Source organism: Homo sapiens, chromosome 5, assembly GCF_000001405.40.
Source record: "Homo sapiens chromosome 5, GRCh38.p14 Primary Assembly".
NCBI lineage: Eukaryota > Metazoa > Chordata > Mammalia > Primates > Hominidae > Homo > Homo sapiens.
The window spans coordinates 135,171,690-135,192,046 of NC_000005.10; the positions used below are offsets into that span (position 1 = coordinate 135,171,690).

The following is a 20,357-nucleotide window of genomic DNA, read 5'->3' on the forward strand; positions in this document are numbered from 1 at the left end:
ATTCTCTGATGATCAATGATGTTGAGCATTTTGTCACATACCTGTTAGCCATTTTGTATGTCTTCTTTTGAGAAATGTCTATTAACGCATTTCCTTTGCCCATTTTAAAATTGGATTGTTTTGCTTTATTGAGTCGAGTTCCTTATATAGTCTGGTTATTAACCCTTGTTAGATGAATAGTTTGCAAATATTTTCTTCCACTGTGTAGACTGTCTCTTTGCTCTGTTGTCTGTTTTCGCTTTGTAGAAGTTTTTTAGTTTGATGTAATCCCATTTGTCTATTTTTGCTTTTGTTGCCTGTGCTCTTGAGGTTTTATCGAAAAAAAAAATCCTTGCCCAGTCCAACATCAGGAAGCATTTCTCCTAATGTTTTCTTCCAGTAGTTTCATGGTTTTGGGTCTTACATTTAAGTCTTTAATCCATTTTGGGATGATTTTTGTATATGAGATAAGGACCTAATTTCATTCTTCTGCTTGTGGACGACCAGTTGTCCCAGCACCATTAATTGAAGAGACTGTCCTTTCCCCAATGTGTGTTTTTGCACCTTTGTCAAAAATCATTTGGCTATAGATGCAAGGATTTCTGGGCTCTCTATTGTGTTCCATTGGTCTGTGTGTTTTTATGCCAATATTATGCTGTTTTGGTGGCTATAGCTTTGTTGTACATTTTAAAGTCAGTAGTGTGATGCCTACAGCTCCCTGCCCACTGCCCCCACCTCAGGATTGCTTTGGTTATTCAGGATCTTTTGTGGTTCAGATCCATGTTTAGCTTTCACTCTACCATCACTGACACTGAAAATCTCTTTCCTAAGGGCTGCTGATCTTCTCCTGAAGTCTCAGAACAGATGGCTGCCAAGTAGGACGTCCTTGGAGAAAGCAGATTCTGGGCTTGCCTGGGTCTTGTCTCTCTGTTCAAGTGTCTTTTGGAGCCCTGGGCTGTGTCCTGACACTCCCATTTACTACCTATGAAAGGCAGTTGTTTTACCTTTCTGAACTTCAGTTTTCGCATCTGTAAAGTGGGACTTTACCTTGCTGAGTGAGGATTATTAGCACAGAGCATGTGAAAGGTATGGCATCCAGCCTGGCAGCTGGTGGTGCAGTGAACATTGGGGCTCAGTTGCATGTAGACACCTGAGAGTTCTTTGGGATCCTCCTTGTCTTTCCGTGGGAAGCTGTTGGCCGAGGAGAAAGTGCAGAGCAGCAGCTGTGAGGGGGCCACACACATGGGCAAAGATGTACATTCTGCTCAAGCACACTCCTGGGCTCTGCCAGAAAGGGTCTTTGGATGCCCTTGGAGACCATGGAGAAGGGGGAAAAGAGGGAGGCAGGGGCTCTGCAAAGCTGTGTTCAGCACCAGCCTGGCAGAGACAATGATCAAACATCCCTGCCTCCCCATGCAAGGCTGGCTGAGGGTTCAAGGAAGCAGGCTTGGGGCACTCCTAGCCTCAAAGGCTGGTTCTGGAGGCTTTTCTGGCAGAGCTGGCCAGGTTCTCTACCTTTTGAAGGCAGGTTGGCTGGAATAACGAAGATCTCCATAGGTGCTTTCTGGGCAGAGAGTGTTTACACAATCCAAAATTTGTAATCTCTTCTGGGAGACATGACTGCCCTTAGGGACTTCTAGTAGACCAAAAGAAAAGAAAGAAAAAAAAGAAATCCCCATGGCTCATATTTGGATGGATATTTTCAAGAAAAATATCTGGTCTAGCAAGGCAGCCCCTTGAGAAACTAATTGTGCATCAAGGTGGTACCAGGCAGGCATTTTCCTGGTTGGGGGAGGGGGGCCTCTCCCCTCGAACTCAGCAGGAACAATGTCTGAATCCTTTAGATTTTTGCAGCCCTGCCCTTCTCTTCCTAGCATACTTCTCTTCCTAGTGGTGCCAAATTTTATGAAGCTAAAGCACCCAAACTGAGCATATCATTTGTACCCAGAGAAAATTCACAGTTCGTTTTGTGCTTTCCAGTGAAGCTGCACCCAGCAACCAAGCAGAAAGCGCCCCTTCCCTCTGCCCTGGGGTCCAGTCACAGGGGCAGGATGGTGGTCAGACCAAGAGGTGACACTCTGGGCCCTTGTCATTTAAGCAGCTGGCCTCTCTGGCTGGCCTGGATTTGTTAAGCCCAGGCAGCTCCTTGACTCCACAGATGGTCACCAGGTGATAAGTGATTGCCCAGCCCTTCCTCCTTTGAACTGAGCATTGTGTCTCTTCTTCCTGGGAGCTGTTTTGCACTGTCAGTTCCTAGGGATTAGGTGCGTGTTTAGGCTGGATGAACTCATGAATGAAAATATTTTGCTTTGTTCTTTCGGCAGTGGAGACCTGTACAGTGAGTCCCTCTTTTCTCTCTCCTGTCTCCCCCAGCACCACCTGCTCAGGTCCACCCTAATAACATCAGCCAAGGCCTCTACAGCAGCCCCCAAGCTGCCTCTGGATAGTTCAGACAAGGCCTCTGTGCTGTGATGGAACCAGGTGACCCGCAGCCTCCGGGCCAGGTGAGTGCTTTCTTGATATTTTCTTCTGGTTCATGTTATATTCTTCAGCACACGATGGCAGAGGGGCAGCCCCAGCCTCTTCTGTGTTAAGAGCAAGGGAGGGGTTGGGGAGAGGAATCGGCCCCGTGTTTATGTGCTTCGCCCAGCTTTGATTCCGGTGCCGTGGACTTCCTGAAGGTCCTGGGGGTGTGGGTCATGAGACCAGGGAACTGAGTCAGCCCTGTCATGTTGGAAGTATGGGCTCATGGAAGAGGCAGGAGGATCAGAGTTCAAATCTTAGCTCTGCCTCCTTTTAGTTGTGTGACCTTGGGAAAGTCATGCCCAGTTTACAGATGAGGATCCTGGAGTCCCACATCTTCCTTGCCAAACTGCTCTGAGGCCTGTTAGTGTGTCTGGTGCCAAACATCATGCCTGGCATGGAGTTGGCATTATGTCACACCGTCCTTTTCCTGCCTTGTTTATGGGCTTGGCTGGACCAGCAGTCTGGGCCAACACCCACCTATGCCCCATCCCCATACCCTGAGAATGAGGAAGACCCAAAGGGGTGCTTATGGGACCTCAGTGTGATGGATGAAGGCATCAGCTCCTAAGAGAATTATCACTGCAATTGATAGGTCGATGATGTTGCTGGCTGGCTGGTTCACAGCCATGGCTAATTCCTACCATTGCGTGTCTCTGGTGCTCCCTGGGAGCTTGAGGTCGGTGGTCATTCTCCAGAGCGCAGCTGTCTTACTACCACCTCCTGCAGGGAGTTGCTGGGTACTGCCTGTAGAGGACATAGGCTGGTGGCTACTTGGAATCTGTTCTGGAGTGCAGTGGATTGTATTGCTTAGTTGTAATAATTTCAGTTGAGGATTAAAATAAGCCTTGGGCCGATGGCTGGTGAGTTGGCTTGGCTGGGTGGGTGAGAGGAAGTGTATGCATACACCTAGGTATATGCCTCAGTGCCAACTCCTGTGTATGTATGTTGCGAGGTGGGGGCGGGGTGGGGCTGGGATTATTATTAGGGTTTTCCTATTTTGACATCTAACCAGTGGCTTTATCAATGAACAATTGTTTTAAAAGTGTTATTCTGCACAAGTAATATATATTAATATTAGAAAAACCGGGAAAAGTAGAGGTAACCACTGTCAACATTTTGAAGTTTTTTCCCCTATAAATATATGTGTTACTTTTTCTTACAAAATAGTATGATCCATTTTTTTAAACTTGTTCTCTTTGCTTAATAATATATCATGGTGGCCTTTTACCCTGACACCATCATTTGTGATGGTTGCATGGTAGGAATGTTGGCCTGTGGTATGAATATACTATAGTTTTCAAAACCACACTCCTGTATTTGGATATATAGGTTATTTCTGAGTGTTAGCCCTCACAACTACATTGTAACTAACATCTTTGTTCCAGCATTTTGGTGTACTTTTCTCTAAGAGAAAAGTTTGGAAGTTGAATTTTGGGGTTAAAGGGTGTCTGTGTTTTTTGTTTTGTTTTATTTTATGTTTTGTTTTTTTTTTTTTTCTTTTTTGAGACAGAGTCTTGCTCTATCGTCCAGGCTGGAGTGCAGTGGCGCGATCTTGGCTCACTGCAACCTCTGCCTCCTGGGTTCAAATGATTCTCATGCCTCAACCTCCCGAGTAGCTGGGATTACAGGTGTGCGTTGCCATGCCCAGCTAATTTTTTTGTATTTTTAGTAGAGACAGGGTTTCACCATATTGTCCAGGCTGGTCTCAAACTCCTGACCTTGTGATCCTCCCACCTCGGCCTCCCAAAGTGCTGGGATTACAGGCGTGAGCCACCATGACTGGCCCAGGTGTCTGTGTTTTTTAAGCTTCTGATACTTTTAGCTAAATAGCCTTCTAGAAAGTTAGTACTGAGCTAAGTCAGAGGAAAACAATTCCTTTCCCCTTCTGCATATGTTCCCTGGGCCTGCCCTAAGTTTCTAAAGGAACAGGGGAGGGGACCAATGTGTCAAAAAGCCCCTCAGGTTCCTGCCAGATCTCTCAGGTGCTGAATCCATTTTACATATGAGGGATTGAGGCCCAGGGAGGTACAGGGACCAAGTGTATCTGCCTGAGGAGGGCCTGGGAGCCATGGCCTGGCTGAGCCAAAGGCATCATAGGGCGTGAGGGAGCCAGCTGCCTGCGCTGGGCCCAGTGACCTGGGAGGCAAAGGAAAGGCCTTGGGCTGGTGGTGAGAAGAGCCAGGCAGCAGGGTGGGAGAGCTCTGGACCTCCAGTCCCTGCTGGCTTCTTCCTCAGGGACAGGGAGCCAGTGCTGTCTGGGTGGGGTGCATGCTAGAGCGGGGAAGTCCATTTAGAGGTTCCAGTGAGTGCCAGCCTCTCAACCCAGCCCTTCTCCAGCTCCATCCTTCCCCTGTCCTGCCTACCGGGCTCTGGAGTGCATCATGGAGGCAGGGATGGGCTGGCACACAATGGGTTCTTCTCAGAGGCTTGAGCAAGTGCCAAGCCGAGGGGATGGTGGGACTGGTACCTAGAGGGACAACAGTCTAGTTGGGCGATGGGATGGAGTCCTTCAGTCCAGAGGTTAGGGAATGGTGTCTGAGAAAGTTTGGGCTGTGGGAATCCTTCTTTCGGGTGGTCCTTATCAAGCAGTAACTATGGGCCAGAGCCTGGCCCAGGAACTGGGGATATAGCCTAGGTGAAGAGGACACACCAGCCTCTGCCCTCAGGTGGTCACAGTCCCATGGGGATGACTGACTGGGACAGGCATTGGTGACTGATGACTGCACTGAGGCTGTGGGCATGCGGAGGAGGGCCGCTTGGGGAAGGCTTCTGGGAGGAAGGCACATCTGGCTTGAGACCTGAAGAAGCAGGGAATGGAGGGTATGGGGGAAAGGGCATGTGGTCACGGCAGAGCGGAGAGCATAGGGAAAGGCCTGGATGTCAGCAGCAGGCTGACGAGTGGCCTCTGGCAGACCTGGTACACTTCTCAGGGAAAGCCAGCTCTGTGAGGGTGCACAGGAGGTGGACCGCCTAGGAGGGAGCCCCCCAGGGCACCAGGCAGGGCAGCGTTGAGGAAGCTGCAGTGTTGGCCCACCTGTGGGTGCTGCCAGTGGCATCATGGAGCTTCTCTCCATGGGCCAGGCATGGCAGGTAGGGCAGGGTCCATGGGAGGTGGTGAGGTGGTGGTCAGGGGAGCCTAACCACCCTTCTCTTTACTCTGAAACATACAATCTCGATTCGCTTTGGAATGCATCCCTCAGAAGGCTAGGAAGACCATTTCTCTTGGTTCAGAAGCTCCATGTTCTGCACCTTCCTCCTCCAGTAGGGCCTGAGAGCCTCAGGTGAGAGAGAGCCCAAGGCACCCTTGCTATCTGGGGAGACTTCATCTTGGGGGAGGAAGGCAGGTCCCTGCCCAGTGCTGCTTCTCTCACCACCACCAGATCCCTCTCTGGTGCCTCTGGAAAGATGTCCCGACTTCTCACCCAGGCACACAGGCCCTGTGGAGTCAGCCTCATGTCCCACATCTCAGCCTGCACACCCACTACATCCACGGGTCCCGCTGTCTGCCCTCCTCCCCAGGGGACACTGGTGCCCCCACACCTCCACACCTGTGCTTATCTCACTTCCTCTACCCAGGTCCCTGTCTCTTTTATTTAAGTCCTGCTCATCCTCCCAGGTGGCCATAGATCACCACCTCTGAGAAGCCTCCCTAGCTTTCCTAGCTCTCTTAGGCCGAGTGCAGCTCTCCTGGCTCAGGGCACCACCCTTGGTGCTGGTGGTTGTCACTACCCCACACACTCCCTTGTGTTGGTGCTGGTTCTGCTGGCAAAGGACTGCAGGATGAGGGGCTCCTTCAGCCGGCCTATCCTTCCTGTGTGTGTCCCCATGGGGCCTGGCACCCCGACACTCTGTAGGGGCTCAGGACCCCATTTGCTGAGGTGAGACCACATTTCCTCAAGAAGTGGCAGGAGTCACTCAGTGGGCACGTCTTCACCCCCATGTTCTAGAGTAAAGCAGTGATGCCGCGCGGTGATGCCACTTTCTGAGCATGACATGGTTAGCAGCACAGGCTCAGAAGACAGCAGATCTGGAGGGAGGCCTGGCTCTGGCTCTGACTGTCTGTGTAACCTCAGGCAAGTCATTTAATCTTTCTGAACCTCAGTTTTCTCATCTGTTTAATGGAGACAAAAATCTGCCTTACAGGAGTGTTGAGAGCATGGACAAAGACAAGGGTGTGTCATCCTCCTAGCCCCAGGGCCCCTCATGGCCCAGTCTCTGCACACTCAGGCAGCCAGAAGTAATTAGAAAGCTGACCCTTTATTGTCTTCTGAAAGAAGGCTGAAGGTTGGGCATCCCTGTCCTGTGCCCCAGCAGCACTCTTGAGCCCTGGCCAGTGCAGGTCTTGGCCACCCACGGCCCTTAGGGTCTCTCCCCACATCCAGCTTTTCCTTTTCTCTTCTCCTGCCCCCTTTCCAGGACTTGATTATGTGGGTGGACCCTGTCTCTCAACTCAGCCCTTCTGCAGCTCCATCCTCCCCTGTCCTGCCTACCAGGCTCTTGAGTGCATCACGGAGGCAGGGATGGGCTGGCATCGAGTTCTCGTTAGAGTGGGTGCGGGGAGGGAAGGATACTTGCACATGGGTGGATGAGTTCTGTTTTAGATGCGCAAGGCCCCAGCCCATCACGAATGCTTGCTGGGAATTCAGTAAGCATTTATGAGCTACCTACTATATGTCAGGCACCGTGCTAGGTTTCAATTCCCCAGAAACTCTGTGAGGCAGGTGGTGGTAGCTTCATTTTACAAATAAGAAAATTAAAGCTCAGAGCGCACACGTTGACTGAGGTTGCACAACTGGTTCGAACATTTGTCACCCCCCATGCATGGTTACTGTCAGCTAGGTGCCGGGCTGTGTCGGGGAGCTCTCTGGGGAGAGAGAGCCCTTTGGAGTCCTGGGTCTGCCCCGGGTCTGGCAGGAAGACCATTTGGATGATGAGAGAACAGACTGGAGGCAGGTGACAGGCAGATCCTAAATGTACAGGATTAAATATTTACATTAGGTAAAGATGAGGGTTAAGTGCCTCAGAGGCAGGCAAAGGGAGAGTGGAGGGAACTGCTGCTGGGGCTTACCTGAAGAGCTTATAGAGAAGGCTGCAGGAGAGGGGACATCTCTGGAGGCTCAGAGGAGCCAGGAGGGGGCTGGGGTGGATGCCGGAGTCAGGCTGGTCTCCTGTGAGGTGTGTGCAAGTGTGTGGTGGCCCGGGAATGTGGGAGCCACATACTTTTGTATAATTAGCTCGGCTCCTCTGCAGTGGTGGCAATTAGCCGTAGGCGGGAGACAGGACTTCCTGTGGCCAAGGCCACTTCTGCACCTGGGGCCGCTTACCTGGGCTCCTGCTGTCCAGGCTTGGGCCCTGCGTGTTTCCGGCAGGGGCAGCCAAGAAGCAGGTGGGGCTGTTGGGACTGCAGGGTCACAGCTTCTACCTCGCAGCAGGAGGAGGGAATTGTCCCAGCCCATCCTGCCGCTCAGCCCTGTTTATATCTTCTCTGGGGCCCTGCTTTTGAGAAGGGCTTTTGCTCCCTCTCCTCACCTGTTGGGGGCTGTTTCTGAGCCTTTCTCACTCTTCCTGGCTGTGGGTAGGACTGGCAGCAACCTAGAGGGGATTAGTTCCCCTGGTGGTCAGTAGACGCCTTATACACCTCTTCCCATGGACAGCTCAATGGCAGGAATATTCTGAGCATTTGGCTTTTGAGGAGCCCCACCTATCCTGCCATAATGAAAAATGTCAAAAATGAGATAATTAATGCTGCCACTTTGTTTCTCTTTAGTGTCCAGGGAATATTACTTTATTCATCTAATGTTATCAGCAATAATAACAATCACTGTCTTTGTGTTTTCTTTTTTTTAACTGGCCCTGCCTGTTTCTCTTCTAAATTGTGAGATAGTAGATGTGAAAACTTGGAAGCGGGAGTGTAATTATTCCCACTTTGTAGGCAGGAAAAACCACAGGTAGGAGAAGTGAGTTGCTTGCTTAGCGTCACCTGGGGAAGGTGACTGTGGCCTAGGGCCACTGATGTGCCAAGTGCTACCATGCTCAGGCTTTTGCAGCTTAGCTGGGGTGAAGCTGAGGCTGGGAACTGGGCTCTCCCTCCACACCAAGGTGGGTGAGAGCAAGTTGCTGGTAGCTAAGTCACAAGGAGGGATGTCAGTATGGCACCTGCTGCGGTCAGCAGAGGGGCAGCTCAGCCCTGCGGTTGGCTGGGACTCAGTGGTACTAGGCTTGTGGCACATCCTGGGGATGAGCTGGCTGCCTGCTCTCTTAGCCACTGTCAAGCAGGCTGAGTCCCTGGTTCCTTCATCCTCCACTGTGCACTCCAGAGCTGGAAAATGTTCTAAAAATCCTTGAAGCAATGGCTTTTCCCAGCCAGGCACAGCCTGCCACATGAGAAACCCAAAACCCGGGACAGGTGAGTGTGCTGAACACTTGCTGTGAACAGCAGGCATGAGGCCTAAAACCCCCCAGGTTTCACAGGTACGGGAGGATTCGATGAGATCTGTGTGATCAATATGAAGCGTTTGGTATGTGCCTGGCTCACAGTGAGTGTTCACTTGGTGTTAGCAGCCATTATTATTATGTTAGACATGATTATTAACCCATTTATGCCTGAGGTTGCAATTTTTTGAATTTTTGCAATCAGAACTTGGTGGTGACCTTGAGCAGTAGGATATAAATAACTCCCACATGCTCAGTGTTCCAATAATGGAACACTAGGCATAAATGGACTAAAGAAAAAGACAGTGTTCTGTGAGGTAACAGGGGCCTGGCCCAGGAAGAGAGTGCTCCACGAATAGTAGTTGTCATTAGCTATTGGCACTTTGTCTCCTGCATCCCCATCTTCCCAAGGACCGAAACTCCGGTCGATTCTCATTACTTGCACTAGTTATGTTCTATAAAGTCCCCACCAACACCGAATTAGCAAATACTAAACCACTGCTCCTAGGGACAATACAAAGTTAGGTTCCTGTGAGCTTCTGGTCACATTTTTGTCAACTGATCAATACATAACCTTGTTTTATGTGTGTTACTGTTTAAAGCACCTTATTTAATATATGTTGATGATTCAGAAACATCGACTTCATGGCCAGTAGCGTTGTAACTCATGCTTATCATCTAACACAGCTTGTCCAACCCGTGGCCTGCAGGCTGCATGAGGCCCAGGACAGCTTTGAATGTGGCCCAACACAAATTCATAAACTTTTTAAAAACATTATGAGATTTTTTTTGACGATTTTTTTTTAGCTCATTAGCTATCGTTAGTGTTAGTGTACTTTACGTGTGGCCCAAGACAATTCTTCTTCCAATGTGGCCCAGGGAGGCCAAAAGATTGGAAGCCCCTGCTCTAACACAACTATTTTCTCTATAAAGTACATCATGGCCTTCTTGCTCTTAGGAACATTTCACAGAAGTATTCTTGGGGGCTATTTTAAACAGCAAAACCACCAACAAAAAGAACAATAATATAAGAAAAAAGAAAAAACACATAACCCTACACACAGCAGAAAGGATACTTGTTGTCTGGGTGTGGCGGCTCATGCCTGTAATCCCAGCACTTTGGGAGGCCAAGGCAGGAGGATCATTTGAGATCAGGAGTTTGAGATCAGCCTGACCAAACATGGTGAAAAACCATCTCTACTAAAAATAGTAAAAATTAGCTGGCCCTGGTGGTGAACACCTGTAATCTCAGCTTCTCAGGGGCTGAGGCAACAGAATCCCTTGAACCTGGGAGGCGGGGGTTGCAGTGAGCCGAGATTGTACCACTGCACTCCAGCCTGGGCAACAAAAGCAAACTCCATCTTAAAAAAAAAAAAAAGAAAAAAAAAAGAAAGAAAGGACACTTGTTTACAGTATGAGCTGAGACAAGAAGGCAGAGGGTTTAACTTCAGCTGGACACTTGTACATCAGGTGACTCAGGTGTTTCAGTACTCTATGCATGTCTGCAAATGACCATGAAAGCAATCATAAGTGTTGATTTTGGAGGTTACGAATAGAATTTAGTGAGCATGGCCTAGCCCAGATGTTTGGAGGTTGTTCAAGGCTGGGAGACAGTGGACAGAGCCATTGAGCCATAGGAAACATGGAGAGCAAGGAAGCCTCCACGTGGTCCCACAGCCAGCTGCTGGCCCAGCCCTGAGCAAAGGGAGGCTGAGGACTCTGAGGCCCTAGGCTAGACTAGGGCTGAGCCTGAATGGCTTTGTCCATAGTTACCCTGATGGATTTTCCACACGGAGCACTTCAGCTGTTTATGGCAGTGTGTTTATGTGGGTGGGTTGGGGGATATTTTTATTTTTTGGACATATTTTAAACATATACATGAGAAGGAATATACCGTTGCAGGATTTTCATTTTGCGTGCCCTTCTGTATTCTGCCCCCATTGGTTTTGCAGGGGACTGGCAGAAATGGGAACGTCATTTGAATTGGTTGTGTGTGGAGTTAGGAGCCTGAGCATTCATGCAGAGGAAGGGGATGTATATGAATTCCCCAGTAGAGAATCCCCCCAGGCCTGGCTCAAGGGGGAAGGTGAGGAAGGGTGGGAGTAGGGCTGGGGAGGAGCAGAGCAGGGCACCCCCAGTCTTCTAGGGCTCTTGGCAGAATTACCTACCCCCCATGAATCTTCTAGAGGCTGACTTTGAGACCTTGGAGGGTCCCTGGTCCCCACCAGTCACCTTAGCATCCAGGTGGTGAGGCCTCCCAGTCACCACACAGCAGAGCTGGTGCTGGGGCCCGGGCCTCTGGGCTGTGGACCTGTGCGCTTTTCACATCAGCACAGTGCCACGGCTGTTCCCTCTCACAGCGGCACTTCCTTTTCCTTCTTTTGTTAGAGACTGCTGTTAGCCCCATGGAGAGGCTAAGAACTTGGGTTTTGGAGTCAGACTGCGCATGTTGGAATCTTGGCTTAGTCGCTTACTGGCTGTTCGACCCAGGACAAGTAACTTCTCTGTGTCTGTTTGCTCGTTTTAAAATAAGAAGGCTGGGCGCAGTGGCTCACAACTGTAATCCCAGCAGTTTGGGAGGCTGAGGTGGGTGGATCACCTGAGGTCAGGAGTTTGAGACCAGCCTGGCCAACATAGTGAAACCCCGTCTCTACAAAAATACAGAAATTAGCTGGGCATGATGGTGGGTGCCGGTAATCCCAGCTACTCTGGAGGCTGGGGCAGGAAAATTGCTTGAACTGGGGAGGCGGAGGTTGCAGTGAGCCAAGATCGCGCCATTGCACTCCAGTCTGGGTGACAGAGCAAGACTCTGTCTCAAAAAAAAAAAAAAAAAGAAGAAGAAGAAGAATACCTATTACTCAGGGTTGCATTGAGGATTTAACCAGTTAATAGTTTAAAACCATTTAGAACAGTCCTGGCACAAAATAAGAGCTATGTGAGTGCTTGTAAAGTAAAGAAAATGTATGAAGTTGCCGTGTGATCTGGGGTAAGTTGCCCTTAGCCTCAGGTTATTCATCTAAACAATGGGGTGGATATTGATACCTACCACAAAGGGTGGCTATGACTCAGTATGATGAAGAATGAGCTTACGATGCTTAGCACAAGGTAAGCTTTACAAAACTGTCAATGATTTGTATCATTGATATTATTATTAATTGGCAGCTGTCTCCCGGTTCAATTGGCAGTGTCTTGCCTTGAGTTCAGATGAGGGAGAGAGAAAATGCAAAGCACGAGCCAGGAGTTAGGGAGGCGAGTCGAGACTGCCGAGTCTGCATTCACAGGAGGCCAGAGGTGGCTTTTGGGCTTCCCCCTGGCAAGGACCCTGTCCCCAGACAGGTGGTGGTCTCAGGAATGAGTGGGGACCAGTTCTGTGTCCTCCAGCCACATCCTAGAGGGAACCTACCTTCCCTCTCCCAACAGGAGCCCAAGAAGCTGGTCAACAGTGCTTCCTTGGCAGAGTCTCCTGCCCAGGCGTCTGGGCAGATGTGTGGCCACAGGCTCTGCCAAGCAGGGGGAATGCCATTTGGAAGAAGTGGGTACGTGCAAAAAATTCCCTTCTGAAGTTCCTCTGGAAGTCTCAGGATATGCTTCACAGGAAGCGTCAGCACAATTTTCTAATCAAGTTGAAGTCTGTGGCCCGTAGTTAGAAACAATAAATGAAATGCAATTTGAGCCCACACTTTGCCTGAGTTTCCATTTCTGGAAGTGGGTGTGGATGAGAAGCTGGCCTTTCTGAGGGAAGAACTTGATCCTTGACCCTGACCATTCAGCCCCCAGCCTCACCATCAGCTTGCAGGGGTGGGACCCTAGGACTGTATTTTGGGTAATCATTGCAAATCCTGATTTTGATCTGGCAGGTCAAAGTCCACACTTCTCTGTAAATCAATGCACACCATTAAGCCCACTCTTTGTTTTTTCTCCTTCCAGAGCCTTCTACCTACCATGCTTAGAGTTTAGTCTTGGAGATCATTGTTTAATCAATATTAAACCATTCACGTAGTTTAAGTGTTTACTTATGTGCTTTGAATCATTGCTTGCAGTAAGAACAAGTGATGCCCCTAATCTGCCTTCACTACACTCCCCAATACCCTAATTATGTAATTTAGAAAAGAACATTTCCTGACAGCAGTTTCTCAGTGTGCAGCAACAAATGCCGACTGGGGACGGGACAAAACAACCCTGTAATAGCTAGCACATGGAGCCCGCTGCCTTGGTCCAGGCGGCCCTGGCTTGGGGCAGACGCCCGTCCATTTGGGTTAAGGCTTTCAAATGATGGCATATTAGTGCCAGTAGACGTAATTCCACATGAAAGGAGCTGAAGCTAATAGCCCATCTCCAGTCTCTCTTAGTTTGTGGAATAGGCCCTCATTGCAAATTATTACTGACCCAGACAGTCAGGAAGAGATATCTCACCCAGCCGGGGAGACTGACGCAGCCAAAGACGTATGCAAGAGGCCAAGGTTTAGACTAAACTCTGCTTTATGTCCTTGCCAACCCCCACCTCTACAGTCCAGGGGCAAGGCCTGAGTGTCCCCAATACATCCTTATTCCTTTTGGGGGCAGTTTGGAGGCTAGTGTGCCTTTTCATTCAAGCAAAGTAGGTATTTGAGGGGCTATGGGGTATCATGTTATGTGAGGGGCAGAATCCATGGCTTTAGATTATATTAGTTTAAGTACCATCTAATGAGGGTGGTGGTTGTGGGGGATAAGGACCCCAAATGCCTTTCTCCTCACCAGCCTGCTGGTGTCAGTGACTCGTATCTCAAGGCTGCTGCCCGGTGAGCAGAGCCCAGCTTGGCCTTCTCTGGCCAAGTGAGGCCTAAATGCTCACTGTGACCCAAGCTGCTTCCATAACAGGAATGAAAATCTACCTTTCCTGCTTCCCCTTCCCCCATGAGTGGTCCAACAAATATTCCGTTGCTATAGAAACCCAGCGGAAGGCTGAGTGGCCTCACCTGTCTCAGCAGGGTGATCAGTCAGCATTTGGGCATGGGTGCACAGCCGCTTCTCCCAGGCAGAGCCCAGCAGCTGTGGGCTGGTGTTGCTATGCAGCCTGCCAGCTGCCTAAAGCCCCAGGCTCTTGAAAGTCCCAGAGGATGGGTAGGGGATGAGGGAGAAGCAAAGTGAGCTGAGGAAATTTAAATTTGGCTGTGAATCTTAAACCAATTCTTTAGCCTTTCTAGAAGCACCAGTTGCTATGGTGATGGAAGCGGTGCCAATTGCAAGAGTTGTTTTTGTGGTTAGAGTGCCTGTCTTAGACAAAGGCAGGGAGGCCAACCCAGCAGCTTCAGTCCTCACTCCCTTCTAAGGATTGAACGTTGTCAAGCCCTAGCTCAGGAGGAGGGGTGACAGCCTTTCAGAATGCCCATCTTGCCCTAGCAGTTATTCTAGGGGTCTAGGGTCCCAGAAGGGAGTGGTCGCCAGGCATTCCAAGAGAGAACCCACAAGTAGGCTTACCAACAGAGAAAGGGCTAGTCAGTGATGGCAGATTTTGGAGTTGAAAATTTCTTTCTCGAGGCAAACTCACAATACAGTGTTCTTTATGGAGCCTTCTGCCACCCAGAGTCTGGTCACCTGCCCTTAGGGGTCTGCTCCTTCAGGCCACATTTTGACTTAGGCCTCAAATATCAGATCCCCTGAAACATTTCCTAAGTGACGGAATGGAGGCCTTTTCTATAGCCGAGGTGCTTGTGTAGCTCGTTAACTCTCAAAGTGTTTTACAAATATTTATTCACCTTAGGTCATTTGCAAACCTAACCCCTGTCATCCCACCCCAAGGTTGTCCCCTCCAGCCTAGTTGCCCAAAATGAAGTCAGAAGCCTTGGACTAAGAATTCCACGTTGGCTGATTTTGAAAAGCTTGCCTGAACGGTTTATTTCTCTAGTCTGTTCTTCTTAGAGTTCCAGAATGTGTCAGGACTTCCCAGTCCAGGCATGCAAAGCCCTTTGCCCTCCCTGCCAGAGGTGAGAGTATTTTATTTATGAATTCATTTTAAATTACTTTCAAAATCACTTTTAATCAAATTAAGACGCTCCCTCTGGGATTCTGTCAAAGCATCAGAATAAGAGGGCATTGGCTTGGAGCAAGGTATTTTAGGACAGGTAACCAGTTCCCATTGACTTGCTTTCCTGGCTGACATGGACAGGTAGAGAAAGCCTATGTCATTTTGCTCTCTGAGATCCCTGAAGTGTATTTATTTCCTTGTAAGGAGGAAGGTCCCTGGGAATTGGAGGCCTGGATCCCTCCCAGGGGTGAACTCTGTGTGCCGAATGTTGGTGATATTTCTCCCAAGACTCACCCAGATGATTGCTGGGCTCCTGCCCCTCCCCATCTTCCCAGCAACCCACCACACTGAATTGATTGGGTTTACTGGCCTCAAAGTGGCCAAACCTGAATTTGCCTCAGCTTCTGGTCAGAACTTCTGACTAATGAAGGCTGACCCCTGGTGAATTTTCAGAAGCCATGACTTGCCTGCACTGAGCCTATTCTGCTGATAAGATAGGCTTTTGTGCAGAGCAGGCAAGAGGGTAGCAGCTTCAATAAGGTCCATATCAAGGTGATACTAATCCTTCGGCTGGCTAATGTTTGCCAAATAAATAGCCTCATTAGGAAGGGCTATAAAAGCCCGATAAGATTCTTCTAATTATCCCCCAAAGCACAGATACTTGGGGTTTCAGTTTAGCATAATAGGAGACGTGGAGAAAAGAGGGAACAATGTGTGTAAGTGAATATTTTCAACACCGGCCTCACCGCCGCTAACAGCGGCACATCTAGCATTTCATATTTTGCTTTGCCAGAGCAGCAAATTGCTGAACAGAAGGGAAAAAAAGACAATTACATATTTTAGGTTACTATTTCACCTTTGCAAATCAATATACAAGCCATTAAAAGTACATTTTTCCATGAATGATAAGTGTAATTACCTCTTCTTGCCATAAAAACTTGTCCTTATTAAATGTAAATATTTAAAAATGATTGAAATATACTTGAAGGGTGCTTTATAGCTTGATTTTATATGCTGACATCTGGGTTGCCTTTCCTAAAACACTCTATTTCTTGGAGAGTTATTAAATTAGTATTTTGAAAGGACTAACACTAGACTTGTTCCTTGTTTCCATTTTAATTTCGTACATATTTAGATTTACCAGGAATTCGGAGAGGGTTTATGTTTAGCTAATGCATCATTATGTTTGCGGGGCTTGCACACACGTAGAAGCCATGATATTGTTTGCAGAGGGAATCTTTCAAGAATTGGTAACTGCATCTCCACATTTATTTTGTACCCTTGCAAAGTATAAAAATTGAGATTCCAAGATTTCTGGCTGTAAATGTTTAATTTTCCAATTCTTCTTTTGAGCAAGGAAGATTGTTTTAAATATTTACTTAGCTTTTAATTGCACATCATTTCAGATAGCGAATGCCGATCAGTTTTATTGTAGCTCTGTCGGAGGTTATTTAACTCTTAGAAAGATGTACACTGTGATACTTTTTTCAGCTTCACTCTTTGGAAGAGATTTTTTTTTTCTTTAAACATTATTATTTTTAGTTGCTGCACTCTACCTCTATTTTTGGTAAGGTAAGACTGTTCAATTCAATACTTTGAGAGAATTTCAGACAATGATAGAAAATCTAATATTTGAAAATATAAGCTTCACTAACATACCTAATTCCAGATGGCAAAAAGACCTTGCCCAAAAATGTGAAAGAATTCAGTATGAGTGGCTCAAATATTTTTTCATGATAAACAAATATTTCTGGGATGGATGTGTTTCTGAGCTCTGCATAGGAAAGCAGCCATCCATGCAAGCCGTGCTGGGCTACCCTTCAAACCCTCTTTACTCTTTTCCTTTCACTATGTTAAATCCTTGAGATGTGTAAAGATGTTATGATAGGCAGTGGGTCAAGTAATCTGCACATGTAGCTTTTTATAAATTTTTCTTTGCAGAGGAAAATTTTTCTTCAAATAAACCTCCCCAAATAAATGGTTTGTAAAAACAAAAGTCTATTTGTTTTGAAATTGCACACAAGAAAACATGTTATAACAATATCTTTGAGTTCCGCCTGAGAAAAGAAATTTACCTATAGTCAGCGATTTCCTTCATGATAAGGCTTTAAAAAATAAAGTTGTCTCTTGGGAGAAAATAAACATAGCGAAGTGGAGATATTTATAATGAGGTGCCTTTATTCACTTGTCCAGTGGAACTGTTTAACTGTTGTTTTATCTCTCCTCTCTTTCTTTCTTTATAATTATGTTCATGCAAATTCCTGAACCTTAAGCATTTTAGAAATGTGTTATCTTAAATTACACAGATACTTCTTGAATGTGCAAATGTGCCATTTTTTCCCCCACTTGAAGTAGAAACTGTAAACAAGTCTTGAAATTTTTTTTTGCCCAAACTCGTGGCAAAATGTCTGGGGTTTGGGGCTATTTTCACAGTGCCACTGAAGGTGAGCAAACGAATGGGAACATGCGCCGATCACCAGTCAGTGACTTGGGAATTTTTCAGGAGGCATATTTTCTTACGTTAATGCTTTTGTAGATTCCATCGATGTTCAGACATCAAAGGGCATGCAATTAATAATGGGCATCTGGAGGGCCGATCACATGTTTCCGATGTTAAAGTGGTGAACGACAGGAAAATCGGCCACGGTCAGGTATTAGCTGTAATCATTTTTAACCAACAACGAAGGCTTCTCTTTTGTGCCTCTGCTCTCAGAAACGCAAGCCTTCCCATACAAAAGGGTCCCATAGATGCTTTTCTGCTAGTGAATGAGTGAGTGATAAATGATTTGTAGACCTACGTCTCAGTGTTGATTCAAATAACCTTAATTTCTCCAATAAACTCAAACCCAATTTTGTGTGAAACCCCACATGGACACAAGGCAACAGACAGTTGTATTATTTGAATCTTTAGTTAATTCTTTCAGGTTTGCTCCTTTATTTGTATTTTTTAAAAAAATAAACGAATATTTTCTAGTACTAGAATAAGATTGCTTCAACCAAAGGTGACCTTATGAGTTATTTATTTCCTGTCTTTTATAGTAGCCTGTTTATCTTTTCCAAAGTGATGTATGTTACCCAATTCCAAGTAATATAAGATATGCAGGTAAGACTGTGTTAAAGCTCAACAAAAATGTTCTAGAGAAATACAGTGCTTTGGGCTCTAAACACTCCAGCAGGTATAGAAACCTGCAACTCTTTAAAAATAATTCTCATTTGAGTAGGTCACAGATAATAAAGGAACACTTGTTTCTGGGAAATTAAAAAAATGACATGAGGGGAAAATATTTATTTGCTTTCTACATTGGTCAAATGACTAGTGGATATTAAAAACCTGTAAAATAGACAGATGCAACCAATTCTCTTTCATTAACAAATATTGCAATTTCACAATAAAGTAAATGCATTAAAAAATGTCTACACTTCTGAGAAGCTGAAATGGTCAGAACTTGAGCTTGCTTTAAATGTTTAAAGACTGATATTCTAATCAGTTGGGGGAAAATTATTATTATAAGTCTTTAAAGAACTAACTTGAATTTTAAAGCCTCCTTTGGCTGTTCAGGTAGCAAAAACTCTGATCAACTCTGTGTACATTTCTGTACATTTGCCTCTTGACTCAATCTGCCCGGTCACCAGCTTTGTTTTCTTTCTAAGTATAAGCCGTATGTATCGGCAGCACATTTTAAAGTTAATTTGAAGCAGGGTCTATATTGCCGTCAGCAAATATGTTATAAGCTTATTATTTAATAGTGATTCCGGGGTAAGGCCATCATCTCCTTCCTAAATCCAAATATAAAAGTTGAAATCGTATTTGTTAAAACTGTCATGTTGAATTTGTGGCCCAGATTGTTTTCCCGAGGCCTGCTGGGCCAGAGCTCGAATGCCGCTCCCAGCTGCAGACACCCCAGCCCAGGAAAACTGCTCGCGGCTGAGTCGCTGAGCCTCTCAAACCGCCTGCTTCCCCCAAACAGAGCCACGGCCCAGCCGGCTCGCTCATGGCTTTTCCACATTGTAAAATCATTTGATTTATTTGTTTGGTTTGGTTTGGTTTTTAGAAGCGCTGCAGAAATTATTTCCTACTGGCAGAGAGGGCACTTGGTGTTACACTACATTAGTTTCACATCATTAGTTTAGGGTTCTCAAACTTAAAATGGTAAAGTATATGCGAGGCTTCTAGAGACCTCAGTTCTGACCAGAGCAGAACAAATTAAACCTGATGGATTCCTTTCGCTGCCTGTGTAGTGTGGGGCAATGCAGAACAAAGTGCTGTGGCGTTGCGGAAGGGGTTCCCTCTGGCAGTTTTGGAATTTGGTGGTAGGAAATGTTAGTTATTTATAAAAAGGAAAAATTCCTCTGTTACCATTCTGGTTTTCACAAAAACCGTAATTTTATCATCACGGCTTGTAGCAGGAAGCCAACAAGGGGTGCCGATGACGGCCACGACCCCGTATCTCTGGGCTGTCTCTCTCACCTCCATCGGCCACTGCCTGCTTGCTCTTTAGGAGCAAAGGACATGATTTAGAAGTAATTCAAAACCCCGTCGCGGGACCCAGAACAGCCCAGATGGTCTGGCCCTGGCCTGGGGTCTGCGGGGGTGGGGGTGCCAGCCCCGGGGGTGGAGTCGAGGTCGGCTCCCGGCCAGGTCCCGCGACGGGTCTGCACGCAGCCAGGGAGGCCTGAGGGGGCAGCTGCGGGGCTGGCGGCCAGGAGCTGCTTCGCGGCTTGCGGCGCAAAGTAGAGGCCCCGCTAGCTCGCTCCCGCACGCCGTTCTGCGCCTTCTCTTCCTAGCCCCGGCAGGCTCTGTCTTCCCCCGTGGGTCGCAGCGAGAGGGAGACCTCGGCCTCTGCCGCTGCAGCCTGAGACCCAGCCGCGGGCCTCAGGTGCGCGCTCCCCGAAGCTCTCCTGCCACCTGTTGGCCGCCGGTGGTGCTGACGCTACGGGGAGAAGCCACGCTTCAGTGGCTTGCCTGGAATTCATGACTTGTGCGCTCCACGTCCTGGGCTGGCCGACCTGCTGAGGGTATCTCTGAGAGCAGGAGCCAGGCCGTCCCGGGCTCTCCTGCGACAGTGCGGTGGGAGAGCCTTAGCGGGAGCCAGGCTGCGCCATGGCTTCCTCTGGACAGTTCTGCTGGCGTGCCCTGCTTGGCGGGGTACAGTGGGGCAAGCGGGGTATAAACCCGCTTGTTCAGCTTGGGAGCAGGCTCTACTTCCCAAGAGCAGCACAGGGGCTTCCGCCGGAAGTCAGGAAGAAGGTTTGAGGAGCTTCAGATCCAAGGACGGTGCCATGCCTTTTCATTGGAAGTCATGGACCACCCTCAAATATCATGGATTAGCCATTCTGTTCCCAGGGGCTGGGTTCCTAGGTATCCACCACAAACAGGCTTGAATCTACCCACACAAACAACCCTATCAGGAAGTCT

General features: G+C 47.8%; 1 long non-coding RNA gene across 1 annotated transcript in view, besides 2 other annotated features; it reads left to right on the plus strand.

Moving 5' to 3' along the window:
* The window catches only part of PITX1-AS1 (PITX1 antisense RNA 1), a 311,407-nt gene that overhangs the window by 138,416 nt on the left and 152,634 nt on the right, over positions 1 to 20,357 (plus strand). Inside the window, exon 3 of the long non-coding RNA NR_161235.1 lies at positions 2,353 to 2,483. This is a non-coding gene — a long non-coding RNA (PITX1 antisense RNA 1). The remainder of the gene's footprint in view (positions 1 to 2,352; positions 2,484 to 20,357) is intronic.
* Positions 2,018 to 2,176: a silencer, noted in NCBI's record as "fragment chr5:134509397-134509555 (GRCh37/hg19 assembly coordinates)". NCBI's record gives its function as "represses an EF-1alpha promoter that drives an FKBP-Casp9 reporter gene in an ReSE screen in HepG2 liver carcinoma cells {active_cell/tissue: HepG2}" and the evidence as "EXISTENCE:reporter gene assay evidence [ECO:0000049][PMID:32094911]".
* Positions 19,552 to 19,731: a silencer, noted in NCBI's record as "silent region_16372". NCBI's record gives its function as "represses an Ori minimal core promoter by ATAC-STARR-seq in GM12878 lymphoblastoid cells {active_cell/tissue: GM12878}" and the evidence as "EXISTENCE:reporter gene assay evidence [ECO:0000049][PMID:35858748]".